Genomic DNA, 26500 nt, shown 5'->3' with positions numbered 1-26500 from the left:
TGATTGATTTTTAAATGTTGACCTTTAATCCTATGACCTTGTGAAAATTAGTAGTTCTGGTAGCTTTTTGGGTAGATTCTTTGGGATTTTCTACATAGAAACTCACATTGTCTGCAAGTAGAGACATTTATTTATTACATTATTAAACTAGCTAGGAACTCCAGTATGATGTTAAATAAGCATGGTGAGGAGGGGCATCCCAGCCTTGTTGTTGATCTTTGGGGAAAATATTTAGCCTTCTATTTTAAGTATGATATTAACTGTGGCTTTTTTTTTTTTTTGGTACGTATCCTTTCTTGAGTTAAGAAAGTTTCTTTCTATTCAATATTTTTTAAGACTTGTTGAATTGTATTAAATTATTTTTTTCTGCATCTATAGAGAGGGTTACATGGTTTTTCATTTTTAGTCTGTTGATGTGATTAATTACATTGATTGATTTTTGGATGTTGAAATGGCCTGAACTTCCTGCAAAAGATCCCACTTAGTAATAATGTATTACCATATACGTACATATATATGGCACAATTTGCTAATATTTTTGCTGAAGAATTTTTTGTATCTGTATCCGTGAGTGATATTCTTCTCTAGGTGTGTGTGTGTGTGTGTGTGTGTGTGTGTGTGTGTGTGTGTGTGTGTTGAATTTCTTTGGATGGTTTTGGTACCTGTGTAATGCTGGCCTCAGAAAATGAGCTGGGAAGTCTTTCCTCCTCTTCTACATTCTGGAAGAGTTTGTGTGTAATTCATATTTCTTCCTTGAATGTTTGGTAGAATTCACCAATGAAGTCATATCTAGCATATGGGCTGCTCTTAAAGAGTGGTTTTTTTAGTCAATATCTGCTTCACCCTTGACTTTAAGTTTTCCTTTGTGCCATGCCTGGAGAGACAGAGAGAGAAAGAGAGAAAGAGTCTCTCTTCATGCTCTTGTCTCTTTCCCAGCTGGAAACTGCTGTTATTTGTTACTTGACGCTGTTGTAGCCTGTTGACAGGATGTGCTACAGAGTTTGCAGGTGAAAAATAAAAATGAAGGGCTCCTTGCTCAGAAAGTATTAAAACTGTCAGGATGGCAATAGTAGAGTATTAAACCAAATGCAGGACCCTTCTAAGCATGGGCTGTGTGATCACACAAGTCATTGGCCATGAAGTCATTTCTGCCTCTAAAGAGAGGCAGAGCTGGGGCATCCTCTCCTGTTCTGGCTAAGCCTCAGTTTTAGAGGCAAGAACTGTGTCCCTGGGTCTTGGAGATGGGGCCTTCTCAGCAGTATCGCACACTTCCAACTGTGGGTCTGGTCAGGGGACAGTGATCTTGCACCTTCTGCAAAGGTAGAATGTATTTTTATGTTCCTTCTCCCAGCTAGAATGGGTTTCCATCAATGTGCTAAGTGTGACAGAGTGTGTATTGTCTTTCCCCAGGGGTATAAGCCATTTGTTCTGTAGGAGACATAGAAAAAAGGATCCAGGTAGGGTTTAATGTTTTTCTCACAGTGACTACTGTGCCTTTCTCCTGGGTCAGCACCATCAGTGATGCCTCTCAGCACTCATGCTCTGACCCCATCTTTCTTGTAATCATCTAGCTTGGAGAACAGCTAGCTAGCAGCTACATATTCCCCTTGTGCTTGTGATTCCCAGTAGTTCTATATCCTCTCACCTGTCTGTATTTGTCCTTTAGCAATTTGTTAGCATTTTTAGCTGATTTTTCTTACCAGTGTCTGGTGAGATTTACCACAGGTAAGCAAGGGCTCACCTCCCCTTTCTTCTTGGGGGATCCTGTATTTCCTTAGATTTCACATTAGTTGGTTGCCCTGTGACCTCAGTTCTTTAACAGGTGCAAGATTTACAGGTTGTCCAGCATATTTGTTGTTGTAAAGATGGAAGCGATTTTTTTTTCCATTTGCCTATCTCCTAAGTGGAGAATGGAAGTCTATGAGTATTTTTTAAAACTGTATTATGGCAGATTGCAGTATAATGAACCCCATCACCCAGCTACAACAATAATCAATCAAAGACCTCATTAGTTTCATCCACTCTAATGGATTATTTTGCAAAAACAAATTCTGCTCATCATGAAATTTTAAACATAGTATGTAATTATAAGATATATTTTAAGACAATAAGTATATCACAACAGTGAAATAATGATTCTATGTGAACTCATTTTTGTTTAAATAAATATCTACATGTTTGCAAGTGCATGGACAAACATCTGGAAAGAGATACACCAAACTGAGAGAAACATTTGTATATGTGGGCATGTGGTGGGATTAGGTGAGGGTCAGGGTGACATGTGTTTATCTGCAATGTCTTTATTAATGATGAGAATGTATTTTTGTATTATTGGTGTGATTTTAAAAGTGTGAAAAAGAAAAAGTAAAAAAAGTAAAAGAAATGAAAGAAATGCAGTTAGACTTTGGAATCTGACATGAATTTGAACGCCAGCTCCACTTTGGGCCACATGTGTGACAATGGACAAGTCACATCACGGTGGGGGAGGAAAGGAAGTGGAGAGAATTTGGAAAGGAGATGGGGAGGACAGATAAGAATCCCTTACAGGATTACTTGTGCTAAAGGATTAACCAACTCTCTCCATGTAAACTTTCTGGCATACAGTAGGCACTCAATAAATGTGAGGATCCTCATTTCTTTTGGCATCTCCACTCAATGTAGAATTATGAGCAGGCACGCACTCATGGAGGAATATTAAATCCTAATGATAATGAGCTTCTTCTGCCCCTGTGTGGTGTGTTCAAGTTATTGCTAGGATTTCTCTCACTCATAGAAAAACCAAAATGAATATTATTTATTTTCCCCTTAAGTTGGAATTCACCTTTTTTACCTCTTGACCCCCAAATCTGATTCTGCAGTATCTTGTCTAGGTTTCTATTACTGTCCAGTGCTTACAATATCTCTGTCTCCCTCATCAGCTTGTAAACCTTTTGAGGGCAGGGACCTGTTTTACTCTCTGTCTCCTTTCTCTCTCTCTCTGTCTCTTTCTCTCTCATAACAATTTCAAGCCTTCAGGGCTGGTGTGAGGATTAAATTGCGTCAAGTCTGCGAAAACATTTTGTAAACTACAAAATGCTTTCCAGATCTACTCATTTGTTTATTCACAAACTTTTGTTACAATGCCTATTGGCTGCACATTGCACAATGTGAAGGGCTCACCTCACTCTCTTGTGGCCACATAGGACGTTGGAGAGAGCAATTGTCAAAATCTACAGAAAGACTATGGTTGGCACTGGACAAAGTGCTGTAGGAGCCTAGAGAAGGAAGGGTTAGCTTTTGCTAGGGACAGGGGCAAGCAAACAGTTGACATGGAAAGAAGATTTGAGCTACAGGTTGGGATCTCAGTAGCAGCTCCTGATGTGGAGAAGGGGGATGCTAGAAGGACTCTCATCAACAAGGCGGCATGTGAGAGGCAGACAACACATTCTGGGACCACCCCAGGGTCCTGTGTGGCTGCACTTTAAGCATCATTGTAGATGTGACTGGAGGAAAGTATCGAACCTTAGGTTGAACAAGAACACAAAGGACTTTGAATGCTCTACTGAAGAAGCTACACATAAATCACTCAAGCTTAGCCCAGTGCCTTCCAGAGGGCAGACATTCAACAATTACCTGGGACATTGAGTTAAATGGATGCAATAGATAGAATCTTTATTGCTTCTATTTTGAATTGTCTATTTTCTTTTACTTAAAGGGAGGTGATTTCAAAGTCTCAGCCTCACCAAGTCTATTTTAACAACAGCATTTCTCCAAACACTTTCACTATGCCAACATGTGACATTTATATTCATTATGAAGAAAAGTCTCCTATCTTGACAACTAATGATTTTTCTTGGAAGGTGATCCTTAAAAATATATGGCATTTTCTCAGGATGTAAAAATCAATGTTCTAAAATCACTAGCATTCCTATACACCAACAACAGTCAAACTTAGAGCCAAATCAGGAAAAAACTCTCATTCAAAATTGCCACACAAAAATAAAATACCTAGGAATACAGCTAACCAGAGTGGTGAAAGATATCTACAAGGAGACCTATAAAACACTGCTCAAAGAAATCAGAGATGACACTAACAAATGGAAAAAATATTCCATGCTCATGGATAGAAAGAATCAATATCGTTAAAATGGCCATACCGCCCAGAGAAATTTATAGATTCAATGCTATTCCTATTAAACTACCATTGACATTCGTCACAGAACTAGAAAAAAAAACTGTTTTAAAATTCATATAGAACTAAAAAGGAGCCCAAAAAGTCAAGGCAATCCTAAGCAGAAAGAACAAAGCTGGAGGCATCATAGTACCCAACTTCAAATTATATTACAGGGTTACAGTAATTAAAACAGCATAGTACTGGTACAAAAACAGATGCATAGACCAGTGGAACAGAATAGAGATCCAGAAATAAGACCACACACTCACAACTATCTGATCTTCAACAAACCTGACAAAAACAAGCAATGGGGAAAGGATTCCCTATTCAATAAATGGTGCTGGGAGAACTGGCTAGCCATATGCAGAAGATTGAAACTAAACACCTTCCTTACACCATATACAAAAATCAACTCGAGATGGATTAAAGACTTAAATGTAAAACCCAAAACCATAAAAACTCTGGAAGACAACCTAGGCAATACCATTCTGGACATAGGAGCAGGCAAAGAGTTCATGACAAAGACCCAGAAGCAATTGCAACAGAAGCAAAAATTGACACATGGGATGTAATTAAACTGAAGAGCTTCTCCACAGAAAAGGAAACTATCAACAGAGTAAAAAGACAGTCTACAGAATGGGAGAAAAATTTTGCAAACTATGCATCTGACAAAGGTCTAATATCTAGCATCTATAAGGAACTTAAACAAATTTACAAGAAAAAAAAAACCCCATTAAAAAGTGGGCCAAGGACATGAACAGAACAGACCCTTTTCAAAAGAAGACATACATGTGGCCAACAGTCATATGGAAAAAAATCAATATTACTGTTCATTAGAGAAATGCAAATCAACACCACAATGAGATACCATCTCACACCAGCCAGAATGGCTACTATTAAAAAATTAAAAAATAGCAGATGCTGGTGAGTTTGCAGAGAAAAAGGAATACTTATACACTGTTGGTGGGAGTGTAAGTTAGTTCAACAATTGTGTAATACAGGCTATTCCTCAAAGACCTAGAAATAGAAATACCATTTGACTCAGCAATCCCATTACTGGGTATATACCCAAAGGAATATAAATCATTCTATTATAAAGATACATACACACATATGCTCATTGCAGCACCATGAAATCAACTCAAATGCCCATCAATGATACACTAGATAAAGAAAATGTGCTACATATACACCACGGAATACTATGCAGCCATAAAAAGGAATTAGATCATGTCCTTTACAGGGGCATGGATAGAGCTGGAAGCCATTATCTTCAGCAAACTAACACAGGAACAGAAAACCAAACAGTGCATGTTCTCACTTATAAGTGGGAGCTAAATGATGAGAACACATGAACGCATAGAGGGGAACAACACACACTTGGGACTATTGGAGGAAGGAGGTAGGAGGAGAGAGAGGATCAGGAGAAATAACTAATGGGTATTAGGCTTAATAGCTGGGTGATTAAATAATCTGTTAAAAAAAAAAACCATGGCAAAAGTTTACCTATGTAACAAACCTGCATGTGTAGCCCTGAACTTAAAATAAAAGTTAAATAAAGAATAATTTTAAAAGAGTATATGGCTTTTTTAGAGGCTTGCCCATGTACACGTTTGGGGATACAAAAGATTCAGTAACCATATCTAGATTTCAGAACATCTACAAGTGGAGCTAAATGATTTTTTGCTAGAAGATAAATTTTTCTTGAAAGAACTTGACTGTCATTTCAGCAGTTGACAGCTAGCATTCATTAAAGATGCTACCTTCAGGCTTTTAAGGAAAAGGAAGAAAATGAAATCTAACTGGTTGGAATGGAGGGTAAACATAAATTAGAGTATAAAGTTTTAAAGTTCTTAAGAATACACTTAGAGAAACTAAAATTAGTAGAAAAGGAAACAAGGAATTTGACTAGGCAAGCTACAAAATATGGGATAAAATCAGTAAATATATTAACAAAAAGGTACTTCAACAAATTAAGACTATATTATTTTATTTTTACCCTGGCAAGTATTTAAACATATCAATTGTAAGTGTTGCCAAGGGTAGGATAAAATGCGCATGGGCATAGTCAAGCATGGGTGTAGTGGATGCTGTAGTGTGCCACCCAGATTCCCAGTGAAGGATAGAGGCACCTATTTCCCCAGCTGCCAGGAGTGCTGCCTGCTCATGGCTCAAGCAGAGTCCTTCCCTAGGAATTGTCCTTGCCTAAGGAAGCTGCCTCCCTAGTGGATCTCACATCCAATGATTGGGCCATTAGGACACACAAAGCTCTGAGCCCTTGACTTTAATTCAGGACAGCTGAAGGGGCCATCCTCAGCCCTGTTGCTATTGCATTGCCGTTCAATGTGTCCCTCCACCTGTCCTACTCATTCTCTTGCAGGTGCCATTCCAATAGCCTTTCCCAATAAACCTCCTGCACACAAGTCTCCATCCTAGGTCTGTTTCAGTCTAAGATGACTGCTATGAAGAAATAAACGTCTTTTCCCTTGCCAAATCTATTTATATTTTCATTTATAAAATCTTACTTTGGTTCTACATTTATAAGGTATTTTCCATTATGAATCAAATTAATATGGATCCATATTTATTTTCTCCTGGTTCTTTTAGTATTCTATATTTTAATATGTAACTCTTTAATTCATCTGGGAATTCATCTCAGTGTCCTGAGTGAAATAGGACTCTAATGGACTCTAATTAACTCCCTCCACCTCCTAAATAGTTGACCCCTGGAACTCATTATGGGATAAGCCACACGATTCTCAACAGATTTTGAAGGTGTGTGATTTGATTCCACCAGCAGAAAGTCCGGATATCCTAAATTGGGAGTGCTCCAACTTAGAGGGTCCTTCTGCAGGACTATCAATACTTCTATTTAGCCAGCAGGGGGCTCTGGTGCATAAGAAATGCTTTTAGCTAAATTCTGCTAATTGGCTAAATTGTCCCCACAATAAATGATTTGCCTTCTCAGAACACAATGAACTCTGCAATTGCAGAGCTCCTCTCTCCCTAGCTCCTGATGGGACCCACGGGGGAGAGACCTCTTTCCGCTGTGGATACTACACAGACCTGTGGCTGAAGAGCCTGGCAAAAAGGAATTTGAACTGCACTCAGGGGCATCCCCAAACAGAACAATCTGTCTTCAGGACTAGTGAGTTTCCTGTTGCTGGAAGGGCTCAGACAGGGACTCCAAAAACATTTCAATTAGCTTTCCATAGACCCAAAGTCTGACCATTAATGCCACTCCAGGGTGGCTTTATATATGCTATTGCACTTAAAGGCCCTTTATTAAATGCAAAGTACTTAATGATATTCTTTGTTGGAATTTTCTCAGTGATGACTGAATGACTCTTTTGTGCTCTGATTAGAGGCTTGGGAGAAAGACCTGATCTGCCAGTAACTCTCTCCTGTCACAGCACCTGAGTTGTCTTCACTACAGACTCATCCCACTGGCTCCCCAGAGCACTCTATTCAGTTAACATGCCCTACAGGCAGAACAGCAGGGACTCTAGCAGCTGACCCATCCTGGGCCCTGACAGGCTGGTGGAGAGCCAGGGATGACTTTTCTGCGACAGTCATGGCTGTGGCTGTGGCACTGTGGAGCGGGGTGATGGCGAGGCTTCTAATCCCAGCTCTGCCACTGACAGATACAGGCTGCAGCTGCCGTTGAGCTCCTCCTGTCTCAGAGCCTCGTCTGTGAGTCTGTGAGTGGGAGCACAGAATGGGCAGAGCCCTTATTCTCACAGAAATCCTGAATCCTGATTTTAGGAGATGATGGTTTTGTCAGAGGCGTTTGAACCAGAGCAACTCCATCTTGAGTAAGGGTTGGGTAAAATGAGGCTGAGACCTACTGGGCTGCATTCCCAGACAGTTAAGGCATTCTAAGTCACAGGATGGGATACGAGGTCAGCACCAGATACAGGTCATGAAGACGTTGCTGATAAAACAGGTTGCAGTAAAGAAGCCAAGCGAAACCTACCAAAACCAAGGTGGCAACGAGAGTGACCTCTGGTCGTCCTCACAGCTACACTTTCACCAGCAACATGACAGTTTACAAATGCCATGGGAACGTCAGGAAGTTACCTTATATGGTCTAAAAAGGGAAGGCCTGAATAATCCACCCCTTGTTTAGCATGTCATCAAGAAATAACCATAAAAATGGGCAAACAGCTGCCCTCGGGGCTGCTCTGTCTATGGAGTTGCCATTCTATTATTTCTTTACTTTCTTAATAAGGTTGCTTTCACTTTACTCTACAGGCTCGCCCTTAGTTGTTTCTTGCGCGAGATCCAAGAACCCTCTCTTGGGGTCAGGATCTGGACTCCTTTCCTGTAACAGCGTGAACTCTACCAAAGGTGATTGGCTTTTGATTTTGTCAGCTAGGGTGGGGTTGCGTCAAGGTGATGTCCACAGGCTCTACCTCTCCCATAACATGCAGGGCTCCCAGGACCACGGCACTGGGGTCACCTGGCCATCTATCACACATACAGACTCCTTGCCTGCTACCTGCCTTACTGAACCAGAGCTGCTGATGGGAGCCCAGCAATCTGCCTGTAATAGACCCTTGGGTGATTCTGATGCACTGTGAAGTCTGAGACTCCTGTCCACAGGGAAAAGTCCAGCCTCTCTCTCACATGTCTCACAAGCCCTGCAGAATCTGGCCCCTGCCTACTCCTTCCTGTCCTGTGTACTTCTTTCCCCAACAGCACATAAATGTGCACACACACACACACCATACATTTTGTTAAAAGATAAACTGAGGCACATTAAAATATTAGAGCTTATTTGAGCATTCAACAATCCATGAACTGGGCAGCTCCAGAATTCAAATGGTTCAGGGCTTGCCAAAGAGGTTTGAAGGAAAGGCTTTTGTAGAACAAATGTGGAAGCAGAGCAAAAAAATTATTTGATTAGTTAACGTTTGAGCAATTGCCTTGAAATAGCCTTTGCAAAAATTATAACAGTGGGAAAATTGCAACAGTGAAAGAGATCCAACCTAACCAACTCCATTTTGCCTTTAACCTCCAAAGAGCCCTGGTCACTTCTAGGTGTTGGCCAAGCTAAGGTTGGGAGAAATTTTATAGTTTAAATGATAATAGATCTTCCCCAAAACTAAAGCCCCTATGTAAAACTAATGAAAAGTCACCAAGTTAGAAGGATGAGAGAGGTCTGAATTTATAGTTAAATGATTACCAGCCATTATTCCAGAGGTCATAAAATTTGCAACTTCCCCAATTACTCCTGTAAATCACATTACTATTGTAGAATTAAGACTGGCCTTTTAAGATGTCTTTTCAGACTTTTGCATTTCTCATGAGCAGATGACCCCACCCAGACCCGTGACTCTCCACACAACCAATCCTATGGTCCCAACCCAAAGCAGACTCAGAGAATGAGGACCATTTTCCACACCCCTGTGATTACATACTCAACCAATCAGCAGCATCCATTCTCTAGCCCCCTGCACCCCAATCTTTGAGAAATCCTACCTTCCAAATTTTAGGGGAGGCCAATCTGAGTAATAATAAAACTCTGTTGTCCTGGTTAGTTGACTCTATGTGTGTTAAACTCTTTCTCTGTTGCAATTCCCCTGTTTCGATAAATTGGCTCTATCTGGGCAGTGGGCATGGTGAACTCATTGGGTGGTCATAGCCTCATTTGAACTATCCTAATAGGAAGTTTAAGACAAGATAACGAATGCCCAGTTGGCTGCCTATGATTAGTTGAGCTTAAGTTTTGTTTTCTTTTAATTCCTGAGTTAGGTTTCAGTTGGCTTATACAGGAACCCAGGGTGTCAGAGCCACCTCAAACTAGTGACCTCCCATTTCATTATTTTAACAATTATGACTGGACTTTCCCTTACCATCTAGAATGTGGAGAATTCCCATGGATAATTTATACTACTGTGATTTTGCTCATGCTATTTCCTTCTGCTGAATGTTGTATTGGAGCTCAGAAACTGATACTCCAAAATATGGCATTTTGACATGCTGAACAGAAGAAGGCTCAGGTCTCCCTGACCTCCCCCTTCTTCCACCATTTCTCCCAAAGAAGCTGAAGTTTCTTTATCTACCTAAAATCCAGACCCACCAAGGAGAACAACTGTTCTTTCTTCCTCTCCCTATTATCTCATTATCTATTGCAGAAAAGAAGACCAAGATGTGACTACACCTGAACAGACTCTTTTACAAGCATAGTGACTGTCCAAGGATCATCTGCATTCCAAAGAAAACTATTTACTATTTACAAGGTAAGCTCTGTTCCCCATCCAATCACTCTTCATAGCACTCACTTATTGCCCTTCAATAGAATTCCTCATCTCCCCCTTCCAATAACCTGTTTTACCAGAATCCAAGCCCCCATTTTTTCTGTAATTTCAAAATGATATATAAGTTCCTGTAGCTCGTTGGGAAGTTGGATCTTCATTCTGAATAAAAATTAAATATAATTTTATGCCTTTTCCCCAGTTAATCCATCAGTCTCATTCCAGTGATTTTTCAGTGAACCTTTAGGAGGCCAATGGCCATGGTCCTGAGAGATGTTTTCTACACAAACCCCCAGCTGACCCCTTCTCCTGGAAACCCAAGAACAACTGCTCATGCCTTTTGCTTAATCTCCTCCCCAAAGCCTCTCTGGAATCATTTGTCCTCAGAATGCATTGACTCTACATTCCTTTATGTTGTTGCATGTCCTGACTCCTGCCATCTTACCTGCCATGCTATGGGGCACTGTGTGTCCACCTTGCCCCTTTGAGCCTTCACTCCTTGAAGGCAGTATCACTGTCTCATTTTTCATCGTACCCCACGGTCTACTCCAGGGTGACCACCACCTAGAAGGGACTTCTTAAGTGTTTGTTGGGTGAATGAGTTGTCTACAGAGCTTCAAAGAAGAAAACAAATGTTTTGTGGTCAGTTGAGTTCTGGGTAAATAGACAGTGGATTGGCCAGCTTTGATGAGGGTGTGCAGCTCCTTACTGGAGGATGGTGGAGAATTCTGCAGGGTACCTTGAGGACACTGGTGCCTGAGAACAGCTCAGGGAAAGTTGCTCAACAGGGAAAGTGTAAAACTGAAATGGGAAGGGGACATTGACCATCTGGGCCTTTGTCTCATGTTGGGCTGAGATCAGTCTTAGCCATTTGGATGGTGCACATTTTAGAAGGCTGGCCCTCTAAAATGTTGCCGTTTACTGCATACACCTTACTCATTTCAGACCATCAGTGGTTAGCACAGTGCCTGGTACATGTAGGCAGTGAATCAGTGTTGGCCGAATCGGTGGGAAACTTGGAATGGTGCAGGGGTGACTTCTAACAGGGAAGAGCAGATAGCAGGTGGTCAGCAACACTAGCTATAATAGGTGAGATCCCTGGGAAGATGACTACCCTGCCTGTGTGGGATATGAGGGAGAAATATGGGAGCCTCCTCACTTCAGGTGTCACTGCTCAGCATATATCCAGGCTTTGTTTTCATATTGGTCTTGCAAAGAGCCTTTTGGGAACAGTTTTCTTATTGAAACATACTCAGTGTTTAAACCTGCAGGTGTGGGGTGGTGGCAGTCCACATGGCATCCTTTGCTCTGTCCCTGTTCTCCTGTCTCTGGCTATTCAGGTTCCCGTGAGGATACTGTCACCCTTGAATAATGGAGCTTGCATAAGACCAAGCCCCTGTTTTTGGAGTCCTTGTGCTGAGGCCACAAGAACTTCCAAAAAGTTCACTGAACATCTAGGAGGAACAACAGAGGGTAATTGGAGCATAAATTTAGTTGGCTCAGCACATTCAGATGTCTGATCTTGGTGGAGTTAGTGTCCTCTGGGGCCTGTCCTATTCCATGAGGAATTCCAAAGAGAGAGCTCATCTAGGGATTTCTCCTTTCTTAGTTCTTGGATTTATTTCCTCACCGTTCTCCCTGGGTTTCCTTACTTTCAAGAGCAACACTCAAGTCCTGAAAGCAGAGAGATGCAGCGAAGGGGTGGTTGGTTGTCCTGTTTTGAGGACCAGCATAGTCAGAGCTCCCCACCTCCCATGGTCTCAGCATAGCAGGAGCCTTCAATTCCCAAGGACTCCTCCTCCCAAAGCCAAAGTCACACAAGCCAAGACCAGTGGATAACTCAAAATGAGATGTGCTGGTGCAGGGGAAACAGAGACCACAGAACACAGATATTGGCTCCAGGACCCCACAGTTGAGAAGGGAAGGGAAGACAGAGGGTGTATTAGTCAAGACTTTTCAGAGAAACAGAACCAATAAGATATATAGGTGTGTGTGTGTGTGTGTGTGTATATATATATATATATATATATATATATATATATATATATACACACACACAGAAAGAAAGAGCAAGAGAGAGATCTAAAAGGAGATTTATTATGGCAATTGGCTTATGTGATTTTGGAGTCTGAGAAGTTCCATGATTTGCCATCTGCAAGCTGGAGACCGAGGAAAGCTGGTGATGTAATTCAATCTGAGTCCAAAGGCCTGAGAACAGAGGGGCTGCTGGTGTAAGTCCTGGAGTCTGAGGGCCCAAGAACAAGGAGTCAATGTCAAAGGTCAGGAAAAGATGGAAGTTCCAGCTGAAGAAGAAAGAGAATTTGCCCCTCTTCTGTCATTTTTTTCTATCTGGGCCCTCAACAGATTGGATGTCACCCACCCACATTCTCTACTCAGTCCATTCATTCAAATGCTAATCTCTTCTGGAAACACCCTCACAGATGCACCCAGAAATCATGTTTTACCAGCTATCTGGGCATCTCTTAGCTCAGTCAAGTTGACACATGGAATTAATTATCACAGAAGGGAAATGTCTACAGGGCCTTCCTGTGATGAGTTTGGGGTACTGGAGGCACCACAGGTTCACCAAGGAGGGGGTGGTCTAGTCAGCCCAGGAGCACAGAGAGAGCCCAATTTGAGAAAATGAACGGGTGAGTTTGGGGTATGGAGAAGGTGGTGGGGAGAGAGGATGTTCCAGACAGAAGAAGGAGTGCAGACAAAGCATGAAGGAATGAAACAACCTAGTCCCATGGGGGACCTCAAACCTGAATATAACTTAATGTAGGATTGGGGAGTATAGAGGAAAGTCCAGTGAGTGTGTCCTCTAGCATAATACTATTTATAAATGCAGTTGTATATTATTTATATATAAATACATAGTATTTCAGTAAATTAAAGAATATAAAATAATGTAAGTTCCCCCCAAACCTAGCCCACACAGTTTACTGAAGGGCTAGAGTGAGAAAGAGGAGAGAGAGCTATCAGTGAGTCTTCCAGCTCCTCCCTCACGCTCAGAAATAAAAGCAGAAAAAATAAGTGCAATCAAACTTGTAGACTGGTTCAGAAGAGGTTCTAGAAGTCCAGGGACCAGGAGCATCAGAATTTTATTAAAATTTGGAAACTTCATAACTACCTAAACATGCTATTTTGTTATTCAATATCTGTTCCTACTCAGTGACTTGAAGAAAAGTAGCACATAGTCAGAATATTGGTCAGGACAGGCTAGGGTCTGCTGCAGAAACTAACTAACCCAGGAATCTCTATGACTTCATGGAATAAAGGTTTATGTTTTTCCTTGTGTAAAGTTCAATGTGCTCAGGGGGGTCTCTTCTACTTTTTAGTATGTCACTTGATATATACTGCCTCTGCAAGAGAGAAAGACACATGCCACTTGCATTCACAGGCCATAATTATTCACAGTCTCAATCCAGCTGCAAGGGAGGCTGAGAAGTGCAAAGAAGCACATGGAATACTTGGTGTATGCCATCTCTGCTGAGCGTGCCCTTCTCATCACTGTCTTCTCATTTCTTTCTGCCCCCACATAGAGCTCACTCAACCCCTCCTCTAAAATCTCCCCCAGTCACCACATCCAGTTCAAACTCAGATCTCTGGGTGATGTCTGGCCTTCTTCCCAGCAAGTTCGCATGTGGCTCCTTTTGGTCCAAGGATACCAAAACTGGAAAAAAAAAAAAAGTCACCTGCCAACCCTGCTTCCAATATATAATGATGAAACTGAGATAATATGGCCTCAATAGGCACCTCCCACTTGGAAAAGGGAAGGATGGGAAGTACATAGAGTCACTGTCCATAGCAATTCTGAAATCCCACTGGGCAGACGTCATGAAAGCCCATATCCTCGGCATCCATGATTAGGCTCTAGTTTTGCTCTCTGAGAGATGCTGCTTTGTTCACTTTTCTCCATGAGCCTGGTTCTACCCATGAGGTTATTTCTTTTTTTGTAAGCTTCCTTGGTAGCACATGAATCAGGCATTGAGAAATAAGCCCTCCTTATGGACTGCTGTTCTAAAAGTTTGGTACAAGCCTTAAGGCTTGAAGACTGAAGGTCTTATTCAGTCTGTCTGTATGGTTCTTTGGTAACATGACCCTCAAAAATGTAGCACAAGTATAAACTTCATTTTATTGCACTTCACTTTTTTGCACTTCACAGATATTCCATCTATTACAAATTAAAGGGTTATAGCAACTCTGTGTTCAGCAAGTCTTATTTTTCTAACAGCATGTGCTCACTTTGTGTCTCTGTTTCACATTTTGGTAATCTCAAAATACTTCAGACTTTTTCATTATTATATCTGTTATGGTGATCTGTGATCAATGATCTCTGATGTCACTACTGCAATTGTCTTGGGGTGCCATAAACAGTGAACTTAGTTGATAAATGCATGTGTTCTGACTGCTTCATTGATTAGCTGATCTATCATCTCTCCCCCTCTCCTCAAGCCTCCCTATTTCCTGAGACATAACAATATTGCCATTAGGCCAGTTAATAACCCTACAATGGGCCTTGAAGCATTCAGGTGAAAAGAAAAGTCACACGTCTGTCACTTTAAATTAAAAGCTAGAAATGATTAAGCTTAGTGAGGAAGGCATGTCAAAAAAAGTGAGACAGACCAAAAGCTAGGCCTCTTGGGCCAGTTAGCCAAGTTGTGAATGTAAAGGAAAAATTCTTGAAGGAAATTAAAAGTGCTGCTCCAGTAAACACACAAAAGATAAGAAGGCTAAGCAGCCTTATTGCTGATATGGAGAAAGTTTTAGTGATAAGAATAGAAGATCAAGTCAGCCACATTTTCTTAAGCCAAAGCCTAACCCAGAACAAGGCCCCAACTCTCTTCAGTTCTGTGAAGGTTGAGAGAAGTGAAGAAGCTGCAGAAGAAAAGCTGGAAGCTAGCAAAGGTTGGTTCATGAGGTTTAAGGAAAGAAGCTGTCTCCATAACATGTAAGAGCAAGGGAAAGCAGCAAGTGCTGATGTAGAAGTTGCAGCAAGTTATCCAGAAGACCACTGATGAAGGTGGCTTCAGTGTAGATGAAACAGCCTTCTACTAGAAGAAAAGGCCATCTAGGACTTCCATAGCTGAAGAGGAGAAATTAATGAAATTGATTACTGAATAAATTACTGAGTATCTTAAGTCCCCTGTTGAGACTTACTGCTCATAAGAAAAGATTCCTTTCAAAATATTACTGCTCATTGACAACGAGCCTAGTCACCCAAGAGCTCTGATGGAGCTGTACAAGGAGACGAATATTGTTTCGATGCTTGCTAGCACAACATCCATTCTGCAGCCCAAGGATCAAGAGGTAATTTTGACTTTCAAGTCTTATTATTTAAGAAATACATTTTATAAGGCTATAGCTGCCATAGATAGTGAATCCTCTGATGGATCTGGACAAAGTAAATTGAATACTTTCTGGAAAACACTCACCATTCTAAATGTCATTAAGAACATTCCTTATCCATAGGAGGAAGTCAAAATATCAATATGAACAGGAATTTGAAAGACATTGATTTCAACCCTCATGAATGACTTCCAGGGGTTCAAGACTTTGCAGAGGAAGTAACTACTGATGTAGTGGAAACAGCAAGAGAACTAGAATTAGAAGGGAAACTTGAAGATATCAGTGAATTGCTAAAATCTCTTGAGATGAAGTCAACTCCCAGTGAAGATGCTTTGAATATTATTGAAATGACAGCAAAGGATTTAGAATATTACATACAATGAGTTGATAAAGCAGTGATAGGGTTTGAGAGGACTGACTTCAATTTTGAAAGAAGTTCTACTGTGGGTAAAATGCTATCTAAGAGCATACAATACTACAGAGAATATTTTGTGAAGAAAAGAGTTAATCGATATGGGAAACTTCATGTTTGTCTATTTTAATAAATTGTCACAGCCACACCAACCATCAGCAACCGTCACCCTGATCAGTCAGCAGCTTTCAGCATCAAGGCAAGACCCTACACCAATGAAAAGATTACAATTCATTGAAGGCTTAGATGATTTGTTAGCAGTTTTCAGCAATAAAGTATTTTAAAATTATGGTATGTACATTTTTAGACATAATGCTATTGCACACCTAATAGCTTACAGCATGTGTAAACATAACTTTATATGCACTGGGAAACCAAAATATTCATGTATCTCACTTGATTTTGGTTTTCACTTTATCGCGGTGGTCTGAAATCAAACCCACAGTATCTTTGAGGTATGCTATACACTCGTGATTTATTTGCTCCCAGCCAAATCCATGCATCAGTAACTGCACCCAAAAAACTATTTTAAAACTGGTTCTCAATCTGCATTATTTCTTCACTCCCTTGCCCTGTGCCCCACCCAACTCAATGGACGCGCCACTGAAGTCATCTGGAGTAGTAGGTAGGAAAATCCTGCCCTTACTCTGATCTTTGCCATGAATTGATCTTTACAGGGAAATTTGGTTGAGCTTTTATACCTTAAAGACTTTTTTGCTCCATGTCTTCCTGTTTGGGATCCAGAAGCACTTGGCTTTTCATGGTCTAATCTTCACATTTCTGGATTCTCTCTATTCCTCCCTCTCTGCTCCCCTCCTCCCAACTTTTTTTTCACTGTAAGCTCATCTCTTCTTATAATACCTTATGAATGCAGCCAATAGCAACCAACACATAGCACTGAAGACATGTTTTCCAAGTCCAACCCTAGAGTTGTCAATTTAGTAAGCACATGGTCTGCTTCCGAAATAACCATAGGCAGGTTTCACCACACATGGTAGTGTTTTAGGACAACATGAATTGACATATTTGCTTCCTAAGTTATAATTTTCCTCAATGCCTGTCACCCCACAATGAAGCAAGTATCACGTATTTTAGGTTTGTTGCCATAACAGAGCTTTACTTCCAGCCTCAATTTCTGTTTTCATCAAGATAATCAGTGCAGTTGCCATAGCAAATACATACTCTGAAATTGTATGGCTTATGTGATCATTGTAAGAGCTTGGGCAGCAAAGATCAGTGTCTAGGGGTTCCCTGGAAACAGCTCTGAGAAGGACAGTTGTATATAGAAGGTTTACTGAAAAGTGTCTTGGGGATGCAGCTGTAAGGAAAGGAGGAAGGAGGACTGGGTGGAAGGAGATGCTGACTCGCAGTGTGGTTGCTGCAAAGCCTCAGCCAGTCTTACGGGGAGCTCTGGAGCTGGGATGGTCTTCAGTGTTGTCTCAAACCAGAAAAAGAGAGCTGGGCCTTTGTATCTAGGCACTGGCCAGCCACTGGCTACTGGCCGTTCTTTTGGAAAGGATGTAAGCTTGGGCAAGGCCAAACCCCACGGGGAGGGCAATGTCCAGTGAGGGATACAACTGTGACCCATCAGCCCCCTGAAGAGAGGATATGAGAGGAACACCACATCATCCATCCGAGGTAGTATAAAGGCTTGGGTTTTACAGCAAAGGCACCGTCGGTGATCCCAGCTGCCCACATCCCTGGAGCAGGAAGACTGCAGTGGACACCAAGAAGCAAAGGGCATTTGGTACTGACGATCCCAGCTGCCTATCCTCAGATTCCTTTGAATAGGAACAGCTTCTTCTCTTTTTCCTGCCATGTGTCAAGCAAGGGCTTCTCATTTGTAGAAATGAAGCAGAAACCTCATTTAAAGATGCCTCTGGGAAATTTGGTTGTGATGCAGCAAAGAAGGGGATGGGAATGCAGGGATGTTGTCGAGTTGAATGCAGACCGGCTGACAGTATAGAGGTGCTCCATAAAAGGTCAAAGAAATGAACGACCCCCAAACTGGGAAAACCCTTATGCCCAACGATATTAATCCCAGAATCATTTACCAAAGGGGATATCTGAACAAACCCCAAACATCCAATAATAAGGACTATTTAAGCTAGCGTGGGCATGAAATCTTGAAGCCAGGCTGCAAGCTCCTTGGAAACCGAGACGGACCTAGCACAGAGCCCAGCTCCAACACTGAGTGGGTGATGGATAATCCAATCAGCACACTTACTGGGGCATAAAAATGAGAACATTCTGCAACTGCATACAATGTGGAGGCCATGATGTTAAGACTAAAAGCTGGATTCAAAATTGTAGGCTCGCTGTAAAATAAGTAAAGTGTACATGCCGGTGAAATAAGGCAGGAATAGAAATGAGAAGGGAAAGAAAGCAGCTATAAAGGGCTCTAGGCAGTATCTTTGGAAGCTGAGAGGCTGGGGAAAGCCGAAGAAGGAGAAGGAGCTAGGGGCAGGGTCCGGGGAAAAGAGACGTAAGCCCAGACACAAGCCATCAGCAGGCGAGTGTGGGAACAGGGCAGCCATTTCGGCTCCAGCCGGTCAAGCCAGCTTATCTCAGGGAAGAGAGTTCTCCAAGTATGGGTGGGTGCACTTACCTTCTTCAGTTAGAAGTAGAATCTGACTATCCCTTGGTTCTTGGGCTGGATATTGTCTAAATCTCTGGGATGAATCCAGCTCAGGTGAGTTAAGCTACTTGTAATGAACAGAGGGTACTGGGATGAGAAGTCAGATTTGATCACATCCTCTTTATATACTTTTCACTGCACACCTTTGTTCCGTCCAAACTGGGTGTTGTTTGAACAGCATCTAGGGTATGTGCACACTTCGTCATGTCGTCACTGCCATTGCCACCATTGTCATCATCAATCACATGTATTGATTCGTCCACTGACAAACATCCATGCACAAGGCACTCTTCTAGACGCTGGGGTAAAGTAATTAACAAAACAGTCAAAGCACCTGCCTTCACGGATTCACGGTGGGAGGAGCCAGGGAAAATAAACAAGTTGCACGTAGCAATTGAATAAAACTAAGCAGGGAAGAGGTATAGAGGTGCAGGGTGCGGGTGATGAGGAGGGACCAACCAAGGGGAGGGGAGGGGAGCAGCCAGGGAAGCAGGAGGAATGATGGGGTCATGTATTGGACTCGGGACATCAAAGCAAGGGAGTGTTTCCAGGAGTGAGGGAACCGCCAGGGCAGCACTGCTGCTGATGGCTCAGCTGACCTTGACCACAGCAACTTTGGGGGAGGGGCAGAGGTGTCAGCCTGATTGAAGGGGGTTTTAGAGAGAACAAGAGGAGAGTAATTGGCTCCTCAGGCTGTGGGTATTGGGGTTTTGAGTACAGATTTTCTGAGCACTTTTGATGTGCCTGTTACTCTGCTAAGGAGCTCACAAATACCATTTCCTTTAACCCTTCATGGTCTTTGAGGTGGGGACCATTTATCCCCCCTCGCCCCACCTTTGAGACTCTTTCTATCTATCACCCAGGCTGGAGTGCAACGGTGCGATCTTGGCTCACTGCAACCTCCACCTCTGGGGTTCAAGCGATTCTTCTGCCTCAGCCTCCCAAGTAGCTGGGATTACAGGCGCCCATCACCATGTCTGGCTAATTTGTATTTTCAGTAGGAGTTTCACCATGTTGACCAGGCTGGTCTCGAACTCCTGACCTCAGGTGATCCACCGGCCTCAGCCTCCCAAAGTGCTGGGATTACAGGCATGAGCCACCACACCTGGCCCCATTTATCCCCCTTTTGACAGGTGAGAAGACCAGGTTTTAGTCCTAAGAGCTCCTAGGTGCTGTGTGGCAGAGCTGGGGTGGGGACCAGGCTCCCTTCTCCGGAGCCTGCACTGGGCTTAGTGGATTGGGAAGTGTGAGAAACGATGGAGGCTTCAACAGACCCATTCCAGGGGCATCCCCTGCTTCTTCTAGTATCGCTGGGGCCCAGAGGATCAGTGAGTCTCTGCTCCTTCTCAGCTGGAAGGGACTTTGGAGACCACCTGGTTCGATGTTAGCCTCGTGAGTCAGCTTGACTGGGCTCTAGTACTCAGTTATTTAATCAACTACAATCCAGGTGTTGGCTCCTGTGAAGATATTCTGTAGATAAGGTTGACAGTCATAATCAGTTGACTTTAACTAAAAAAGATTATCCTTCATAATATAGATTGGCCTCATTTAATCAGTCAAAGGTCTGGAGAGTAAAAACTGAAGTTCTCTGGAGAAGAAATTCTACCTGAAGACTACAGCTTCGACCTGAGCCTGTGTGTTCAGTCCACTGGCTTGCCCTACAGATACCAGACCTGCCAGCCCCCATAACAGCTCCCACCCATTCCTTCACATAAATCTCTCTCTATATGTGTACATATAAATTATAAATATATGAAAATATAGGAATGTATAATGTATAAAATATATATGGAGGTATGTATACACATGTGTATATATAAATAAAATTTGTATTGTACATACTGTGAACCCTGAATATCTGGGACAGTCTCAGTTAACTTAGAAAGTTTATTTTGCCAAGGTTGAGGATGCACACGCGTGACACAGCCTCAGGAAGTCCTGATGACATGCATCCAAGGTGGTCGGGGCACAGCTGGATTTTATACATTTTAGGGAGACATGAGACATCAATCAATATATGTAAGAAATACGTTGGTTCTCGAAGCAGGGAGGGAGTTTCCAGGTTACAGGTAGTTGAGAGACAAATGGTTGCATTCTTTTGAGTTTCTGATTAGCCTTCCCAAAGGAGGCAATCAGGTATGCATCTGTCTCAGCGAGCAGAAGGATGACTTTGAATAGAACGGGAGGTAAGTTTGCCCTGAGCAGTTCCCAGCTTGACTTTTCCTTGTGGCTTAGTAATTTGGGGGCCCCAAGATTTTCCTTTCACAATACATACATAAAATATATAATTTATGCATATATAGATACCTATATATCTACATAGATATGGATATATAAGTATATAAAGATATGCATAAAGAATGTGTGTCTAAAGGTAAGATAGCTCTTATTGGCTCAGTTTCTCTGGACAGCCCGGACTGTAACACCTGGTCTAATGCCTTCATGGGACCCAAGAGGAGAGGCTAAGAGCCATCCAGAGGAAGTGAGACACCCAAGGTTACACTCTGAGTTGGTAGCTAGATCCCAAGCTGTTTCCTGTCCCCCAAATGATGCCTTTTCAGAAATCTGTAACGGGGAGAGAACAGAGCCAAAGAGGACCCACCTTACCTTCTTTTATCTCCTTGCAAATGCAGCCTTTTCTTCATTCCCAGAAGCATCCGTGGGGTTTGTGTTAAAATGGATTGGTTTTCATGTCTCAAAACTTTAGCCCCAAAGGGAAGGATGGTGGCATGGAGTGACAGACATTTTCCCTGATTCTCATTTCCTTGAGATTTTGCATAATTTTTCGTCATTAACTTTGGGGAGCATTGTCAGACCATTCAGTCCTCTGGGGGGCAGTAATGACGTCTGCACACAGTTCCAGGTAGAAAACCCCAGGCAAAGAGGGTGTTCAGCACTGGGAGCTGACCCAGTTTTTCAAAGAGCCCAAAAGGATTTGTTATGCTTAAAGCCCCGCATTCCATTGTTCTTTGTCAGGGAAATTTCTCCTCCTTGTCACTTCTGCCGTTTTTGCCCTGGAAAGCACGTCATGTTCCAGGGTTTATATGGCATAGCACTGTAAAGCACTGTATGGTTTATACTGCACAATGCTGCCATTGTCATATGGTTTGACAAGTCACCTCTTCAAGAGATGCAGGGTTGCATGGCAGTAGAGAGCTCAGCACGACACTTATTACCCCTGGACCTTTGGCTTATAACTAAGCCTCAATCTCCTTATCTGTAAAATGGGCATATCACAGGTAAAACCTTAAAAGGCTCTTATGAGAATTAAACAAGGGCATATACTGGTGACTAGTAAAAAGCCAATAAATGTGAACTTTTATCATGATCATCATTACGGTGTCTCTCTCACTTGACCTAAACTGGGGCCAGTTAAGCAGGGACTCCCTGTCTGTATGTTTACCTTTGGAATTTAGCCTGGCACAGAATGGATCTTCAAAAAGTGCTGAATGAATGATTAATTAAATGCAATGCCCATTCATGAATGATAATATGCCTTAATGAACAAAAGGGAGCTGGATAGGAATCTGCTTAGGTCTAATTCTGACCTCTGAGTTTCAAATATATGTTCAGCAGTGCCACTTTTTGGTGAAACAACACTGTCTGCCAAGGTCTAACATCTAAGAGACAAAAGCAAAGCTCTGGCTGGAGGGGAGCTGGGTGGCTGACCCTCCTAGCTCAGCCTCTCACTCTGTGAGTACCTCGCGCCATCTCTGGGTTTCTTCAAGAGTCCCACAAAGATGAAATTTCAGTTCAACCTCTCCCATCCATCCACCCACCAATCCAGCCTCCAAAACAGTAGAACCCCTCTCCACGAAAATGTTCCCTGTGCTGTTATGTATGGTGGCAAATCTTTGCAAACAATTAAAAAGATACAGTTTCATGCGCGTCCGTGTGAAGAGACCACCAAACAGGCTTTGTGTGAGCAATAAACCTTTTAATCACCTGGGTGCAGGTGGGCTGAGTCCGAAAAGAGAGTCAGCAAAGGGAGATAGGGGTGGGGCCGTTTTATAGGATTTGGGTAGGTAAAGGAAAAGAGGAGTTGTTCTCTGGCGGGCAGGAGTAGGGGTCACAAGGTGCTCAGTAGGGGAGCTTTTGAGCCAGGATGAGCCAGGAAAAGGAATTTCACAAGATAATGTCATCAGTTAAGGCAGGAACAGGCCATTTTCACTTCTTTTGTGGTGGAATGTCATCAGTTAAGGCAGGAACCGGCCATCTGGATGTGTACGTGCAGGTCACAGGGGATATGATGGCTTAGCTTGGGCTCAGAGGTCTGATATTCCTGTCTTCTTATATTAATAAGAGAAAGAAAATGAAATAGTGGTAAAGTGTTGGGACGGTGAAAATTTTTGGGGGGTGGTATGAAGAGATAATAGACAATGTTTCTCAGGGCTGCTTCGAGCGGGATTAGGGGCGGCGTGGGAACCTAGAGTGGGAGAGATTAAGCTGAAGAAAGATTTTGTGGTAAGGGGTGATATTGTGAGGTTGTTAGAAGAAACATTTGTCATTTAGAATTATTGGTGATGGCCTGGATACAGTTTTGTATGCATTAAAAAACTAAACGGAATAAGAGAAGGAGAAAAACAGGTATTTAAGGACTAAGAATTGGGAGGACCTAGGACATCTAATTAGAGAGTGCCTAAGGAGGTTCGCATAGCCTTGCCAGCAAAGATTATTTATTTACTTTAAGAGTTAAGAGTGGCGGTTTGGGGATAGCACCAGGAGATATCAGCTGTGATGTCTTGGAGAAACAGTGTAAACTGGCAGCGTAAACAAGAGCAGGGCATGTATGAGTAGTTGAGAATGGTGAATAGGAGTATGACTAGACAGAAGATAGTAGGGTTGACAAGTTTTTTGGGGCACAGTCCAAGTTGGTCTGGTGTCTGGAATGAGACTGGGGCCTAATAAAAAGGAGCATCTATACAGGAGCTCATATGGGCTGTACCTTGTAGCACTCCAAGGACAGGCCTGAATTCTGAGAAGGGAAAGAGGTAAACGTATTGCCTAGTCCTTTTTCAGTTGTTGGCTGAGCTTGATGAGGTGTGTTTTTAAAAGACCATTAGTCTGTTCTACCTTTCCTGAACACTGAGGACTGTAAGCGATATAAAGTTTTCACCGAATACTAAGAGCCTGAAAAAATGCTTGGGTGATTTGACTAATAAAGGCTGGTCTGTTATCGGACTGTATAGAGGTGGGAAGGCCAAACCAAGGAATTATGTCTGACAGAAGGGAAGAAATGACCATGGTGGCCTTCTTAGAACCTGTGGGAAAGGCCTCTACCTATCCAGTGAAAGTGTCTACCTAGACCAAGAGGTATTTTAGTTTCCTGACTCAGGGCATGTTGAGTAAAGCTAATTTGCCAGTCCTGGGTGGGGGCAAATCCCTGAGCTTGATGTGTAGGGAAGGGAGGGAGCCTGAATAATCCCTGAGGAGTAGTAGAATAGCAGATGGAACACTGAGAAGTTATTTCCTTGAGGATAGATTTCCATAATGGAAAGGAAATGAGAGGTTCTAAGAGGCGGGCTGGTGGCTTGTACTATAGCATAGCCTGCCTTTGCTGGTGTGTGGTGATTAGGCCTGGTGGAACTGCCATCAATAAACCAAGTGTGAGCAGGGTGAGAAACAGGAAAGAAGGAAATGTGGGGAAATGGGGTGAACGTCAGGTGGATCAGAGAGATGCAGTTATGAGGGTCAGGTGTGGTATCAGGAATAATGTGGGAGGCCGGATTGAAATCTGGGCCAGGAACAATGGTAATTGTGGTAGACTCAACAAAGAGTGAGTACAGCTGAAGGAGCCGGGGAGCATAAAGTATATGCATCAGGTGTGAGGAAGAAAATAGATTTTGGAAATTATGAGAGCTGTAGAGAGTGAGTTGAGCATAGTTTGTGATTTTAAGGGCCTCTAAAAGTATTAGAGTGGCAGCTGCAGCTGCATGGAGACATGATGGCCAGCCTAAAACAGTAAGGTCAAGTTGTTTGGACAAAAAGGTTACAGGGCGCGTTCCCAGTCCTTGTGTAAGAATTCCAACTGCACAGCCCTGCACTTCGGCTGTGCGTAATGAAAAGGGTTGGGATGAGTCAGAGAGAGGTAGGGTGGGGGCAGTCTCTAAAGCTGTCTTAAAGGAATGGAAAGAGGAGTGGGGAAAGGATTTAGGATCTATGGGGTCAGCTAGGTTTCCTTTTGTCAGTTTATATAATGGTTTCATTAGGATAGCAAAACCAGGTATCCAAAGGTGAAAGTATCCAACCATGCCTAGGAAGGAAAGGAGTTTTTGTTTTGTAGAAGGGATTGGGGTTTGGAAGATTAGCTGACACGATCAGCAGGGAGAGCACATGTGTTTTTATGAGAATTATGCCGAAATAGGTAACAGATGAGGAAGAAATTTGGGCTTGACTGAAGTAATGGGGGCTGTCTGTGAAGCTTTGCAGCAGTACAGCCTAGGTAATTGGCTGAGCTTGATGGGTGTCAGGGTCAGTCCAGGTGAAAGCAAAGACAGGCTGGGATGCAGGGTACAAAGAAATAGTAAGGAAAGCATGTTTGAGATCCAGAACAGAATAATGGATTGTGGAGGGAGGTGTTGAGGATAGGAGAGTATATGGGTTTGGCACCATGGGGTGGATAGCCAAAACAATTTGGTTGATAAGGCATAGATCCTGAACTAATTCGTGAGGCTTGTCTGGTTTTAGGACAGGTAAAATGGGGGAATTGTAAGGAGAGTTTATAGGCTTTAAAAGGCCATGCCATAGCAGGCAAGTGATAACAGGCTTTAATCCTTTTAAAGCATGCTGTGGGATGGGATATTGGCATTGAATGGGGTAAGGGTGATTAGGTTTTAATGAGATGGTAAGGGGTGCATGATCGGTCACCAAGGAGGGAGCAGAGGTATCTTATACTTGTGGGTTAAGGTGAGGGGATACAAGAGGAGGATGCAAAGGAGGCTTTGGATTGGGAAGAAGGGCGGCAATGAGATGTAGCTGTAGTCCAGGAATAGTCAGGGAAGCAGATAATTTAGTTAAAGTGTCTCAGCCTAATAAGGGAACTGGGCAGGTGGGGATAACTAAAAAGGAGTGCTTAAAAGAGTATTGTCTAAGTTGGCACCAGAGTTGGGGAGTTTTAAGAGGTTTAGAAGCCTGGCTGTCAACACCCACAACAGTTACAGAGGCAAGGGAAACAGGCCCTTGAAAAGAAGGTAATGTGGAGTCGGTAGCCTCCGTATTGATTAAGAAGGGGAGGGACTTACCCTCCACTGTGAGAGTTACTTGAAGCTCGGCATCCATGATGGTCTACAGGGCTTCTGAGGTGATCAGGCAGTGTCAGTCTTCAGCTGCTAAGCCGAGAAGATCTGGGAAGGAGTCAGTCAGAGAGCCTTGGGCCAGAGTTCCAGGGGCTCTGGGAGTGGCTGCCAGGTGAGTTGAACAGTCCAATTTCCAGTGGGGTCCCACACAGATGGGACACAGCTTAGGAGGAATCCCGGGCTGTGGGCATTCCTTGGCCTGGTGGCCAGATTTCTGACACTTGTAGCAAGCTCCTGGGGGAGGCGGTTCTGGAGGAACACCTGGCCACTGCGGTTTAGGCGTTTGGAAGTTCTTGTGTGCTGGAGATGTGGCTGGGGTTTGTCTCACAGTGGAGGCAAGGAATTGCAACTCAGAAATATGTTGATACTTGGCTGCCTCGACTCTATTAT

General features: G+C 42.8%; 8 annotated features.

The window, feature by feature from the left end:
• Positions 6917-7474: an enhancer, noted in NCBI's record as "OCT4-NANOG-H3K27ac-H3K4me1 hESC enhancer chr14:96460419-96460976 (GRCh37/hg19 assembly coordinates)". NCBI's record gives its function as "activates a minimal SCP1, AML or CMV promoter by ChIP-STARR-seq in naive and primed H9 embryonic stem cells {active_cell/tissue: H9 hESC(naive and primed)}" and the evidence as "EXISTENCE:reporter gene assay evidence [ECO:0000049][PMID:30033119]".
• Positions 6917-8032: a biological region, named in NCBI's record as "OCT4-NANOG-H3K27ac-H3K4me1 hESC enhancers GRCh37_chr14:96459861-96460418 and GRCh37_chr14:96460419-96460976".
• Positions 7470-7764: a silencer, noted in NCBI's record as "tiled region #471; K562 Repressive non-DNase unmatched - State 24:Quies". NCBI's record gives its function as "represses a minimal TATA promoter and a strong SV40 promoter by Sharpr-MPRA in K562 cells {active_cell/tissue: K562}" and the evidence as "EXISTENCE:reporter gene assay evidence [ECO:0000049][PMID:27701403]".
• Positions 7475-8032: an enhancer, noted in NCBI's record as "OCT4-NANOG-H3K27ac-H3K4me1 hESC enhancer chr14:96459861-96460418 (GRCh37/hg19 assembly coordinates)". NCBI's record gives its function as "activates a minimal SCP1, AML or CMV promoter by ChIP-STARR-seq in naive and primed H9 embryonic stem cells {active_cell/tissue: H9 hESC(naive and primed)}" and the evidence as "EXISTENCE:reporter gene assay evidence [ECO:0000049][PMID:30033119]".
• Positions 8591-9148: an enhancer, noted in NCBI's record as "H3K27ac hESC enhancer chr14:96458745-96459302 (GRCh37/hg19 assembly coordinates)". NCBI's record gives its function as "activates a minimal SCP1, AML or CMV promoter by ChIP-STARR-seq in primed H9 embryonic stem cells {active_cell/tissue: H9 hESC(primed)}" and the evidence as "EXISTENCE:reporter gene assay evidence [ECO:0000049][PMID:30033119]".
• Positions 21405-21906: an enhancer, noted in NCBI's record as "NANOG hESC enhancer chr14:96445987-96446488 (GRCh37/hg19 assembly coordinates)". NCBI's record gives its function as "activates a minimal SCP1, AML or CMV promoter by ChIP-STARR-seq in primed H9 embryonic stem cells {active_cell/tissue: H9 hESC(primed)}" and the evidence as "EXISTENCE:reporter gene assay evidence [ECO:0000049][PMID:30033119]".
• Positions 22609-23126: an enhancer, noted in NCBI's record as "OCT4-NANOG-H3K27ac hESC enhancer chr14:96444767-96445284 (GRCh37/hg19 assembly coordinates)". NCBI's record gives its function as "activates a minimal SCP1, AML or CMV promoter by ChIP-STARR-seq in naive H9 embryonic stem cells {active_cell/tissue: H9 hESC(naive)}" and the evidence as "EXISTENCE:reporter gene assay evidence [ECO:0000049][PMID:30033119]".
• Positions 25748-26248: an enhancer, noted in NCBI's record as "H3K27ac hESC enhancer chr14:96441645-96442145 (GRCh37/hg19 assembly coordinates)". NCBI's record gives its function as "activates a minimal SCP1, AML or CMV promoter by ChIP-STARR-seq in primed H9 embryonic stem cells {active_cell/tissue: H9 hESC(primed)}" and the evidence as "EXISTENCE:reporter gene assay evidence [ECO:0000049][PMID:30033119]".

This window comes from Homo sapiens, chromosome 14 (assembly GCF_000001405.40).
Source record: "Homo sapiens chromosome 14, GRCh38.p14 Primary Assembly".
NCBI classification, from domain to species: Eukaryota; Metazoa; Chordata; class Mammalia; order Primates; family Hominidae; genus Homo; species Homo sapiens.
Note: the sequence above shows the minus strand (reverse complement) of the source record. Positions and strands in the feature narration are given on the sequence as shown.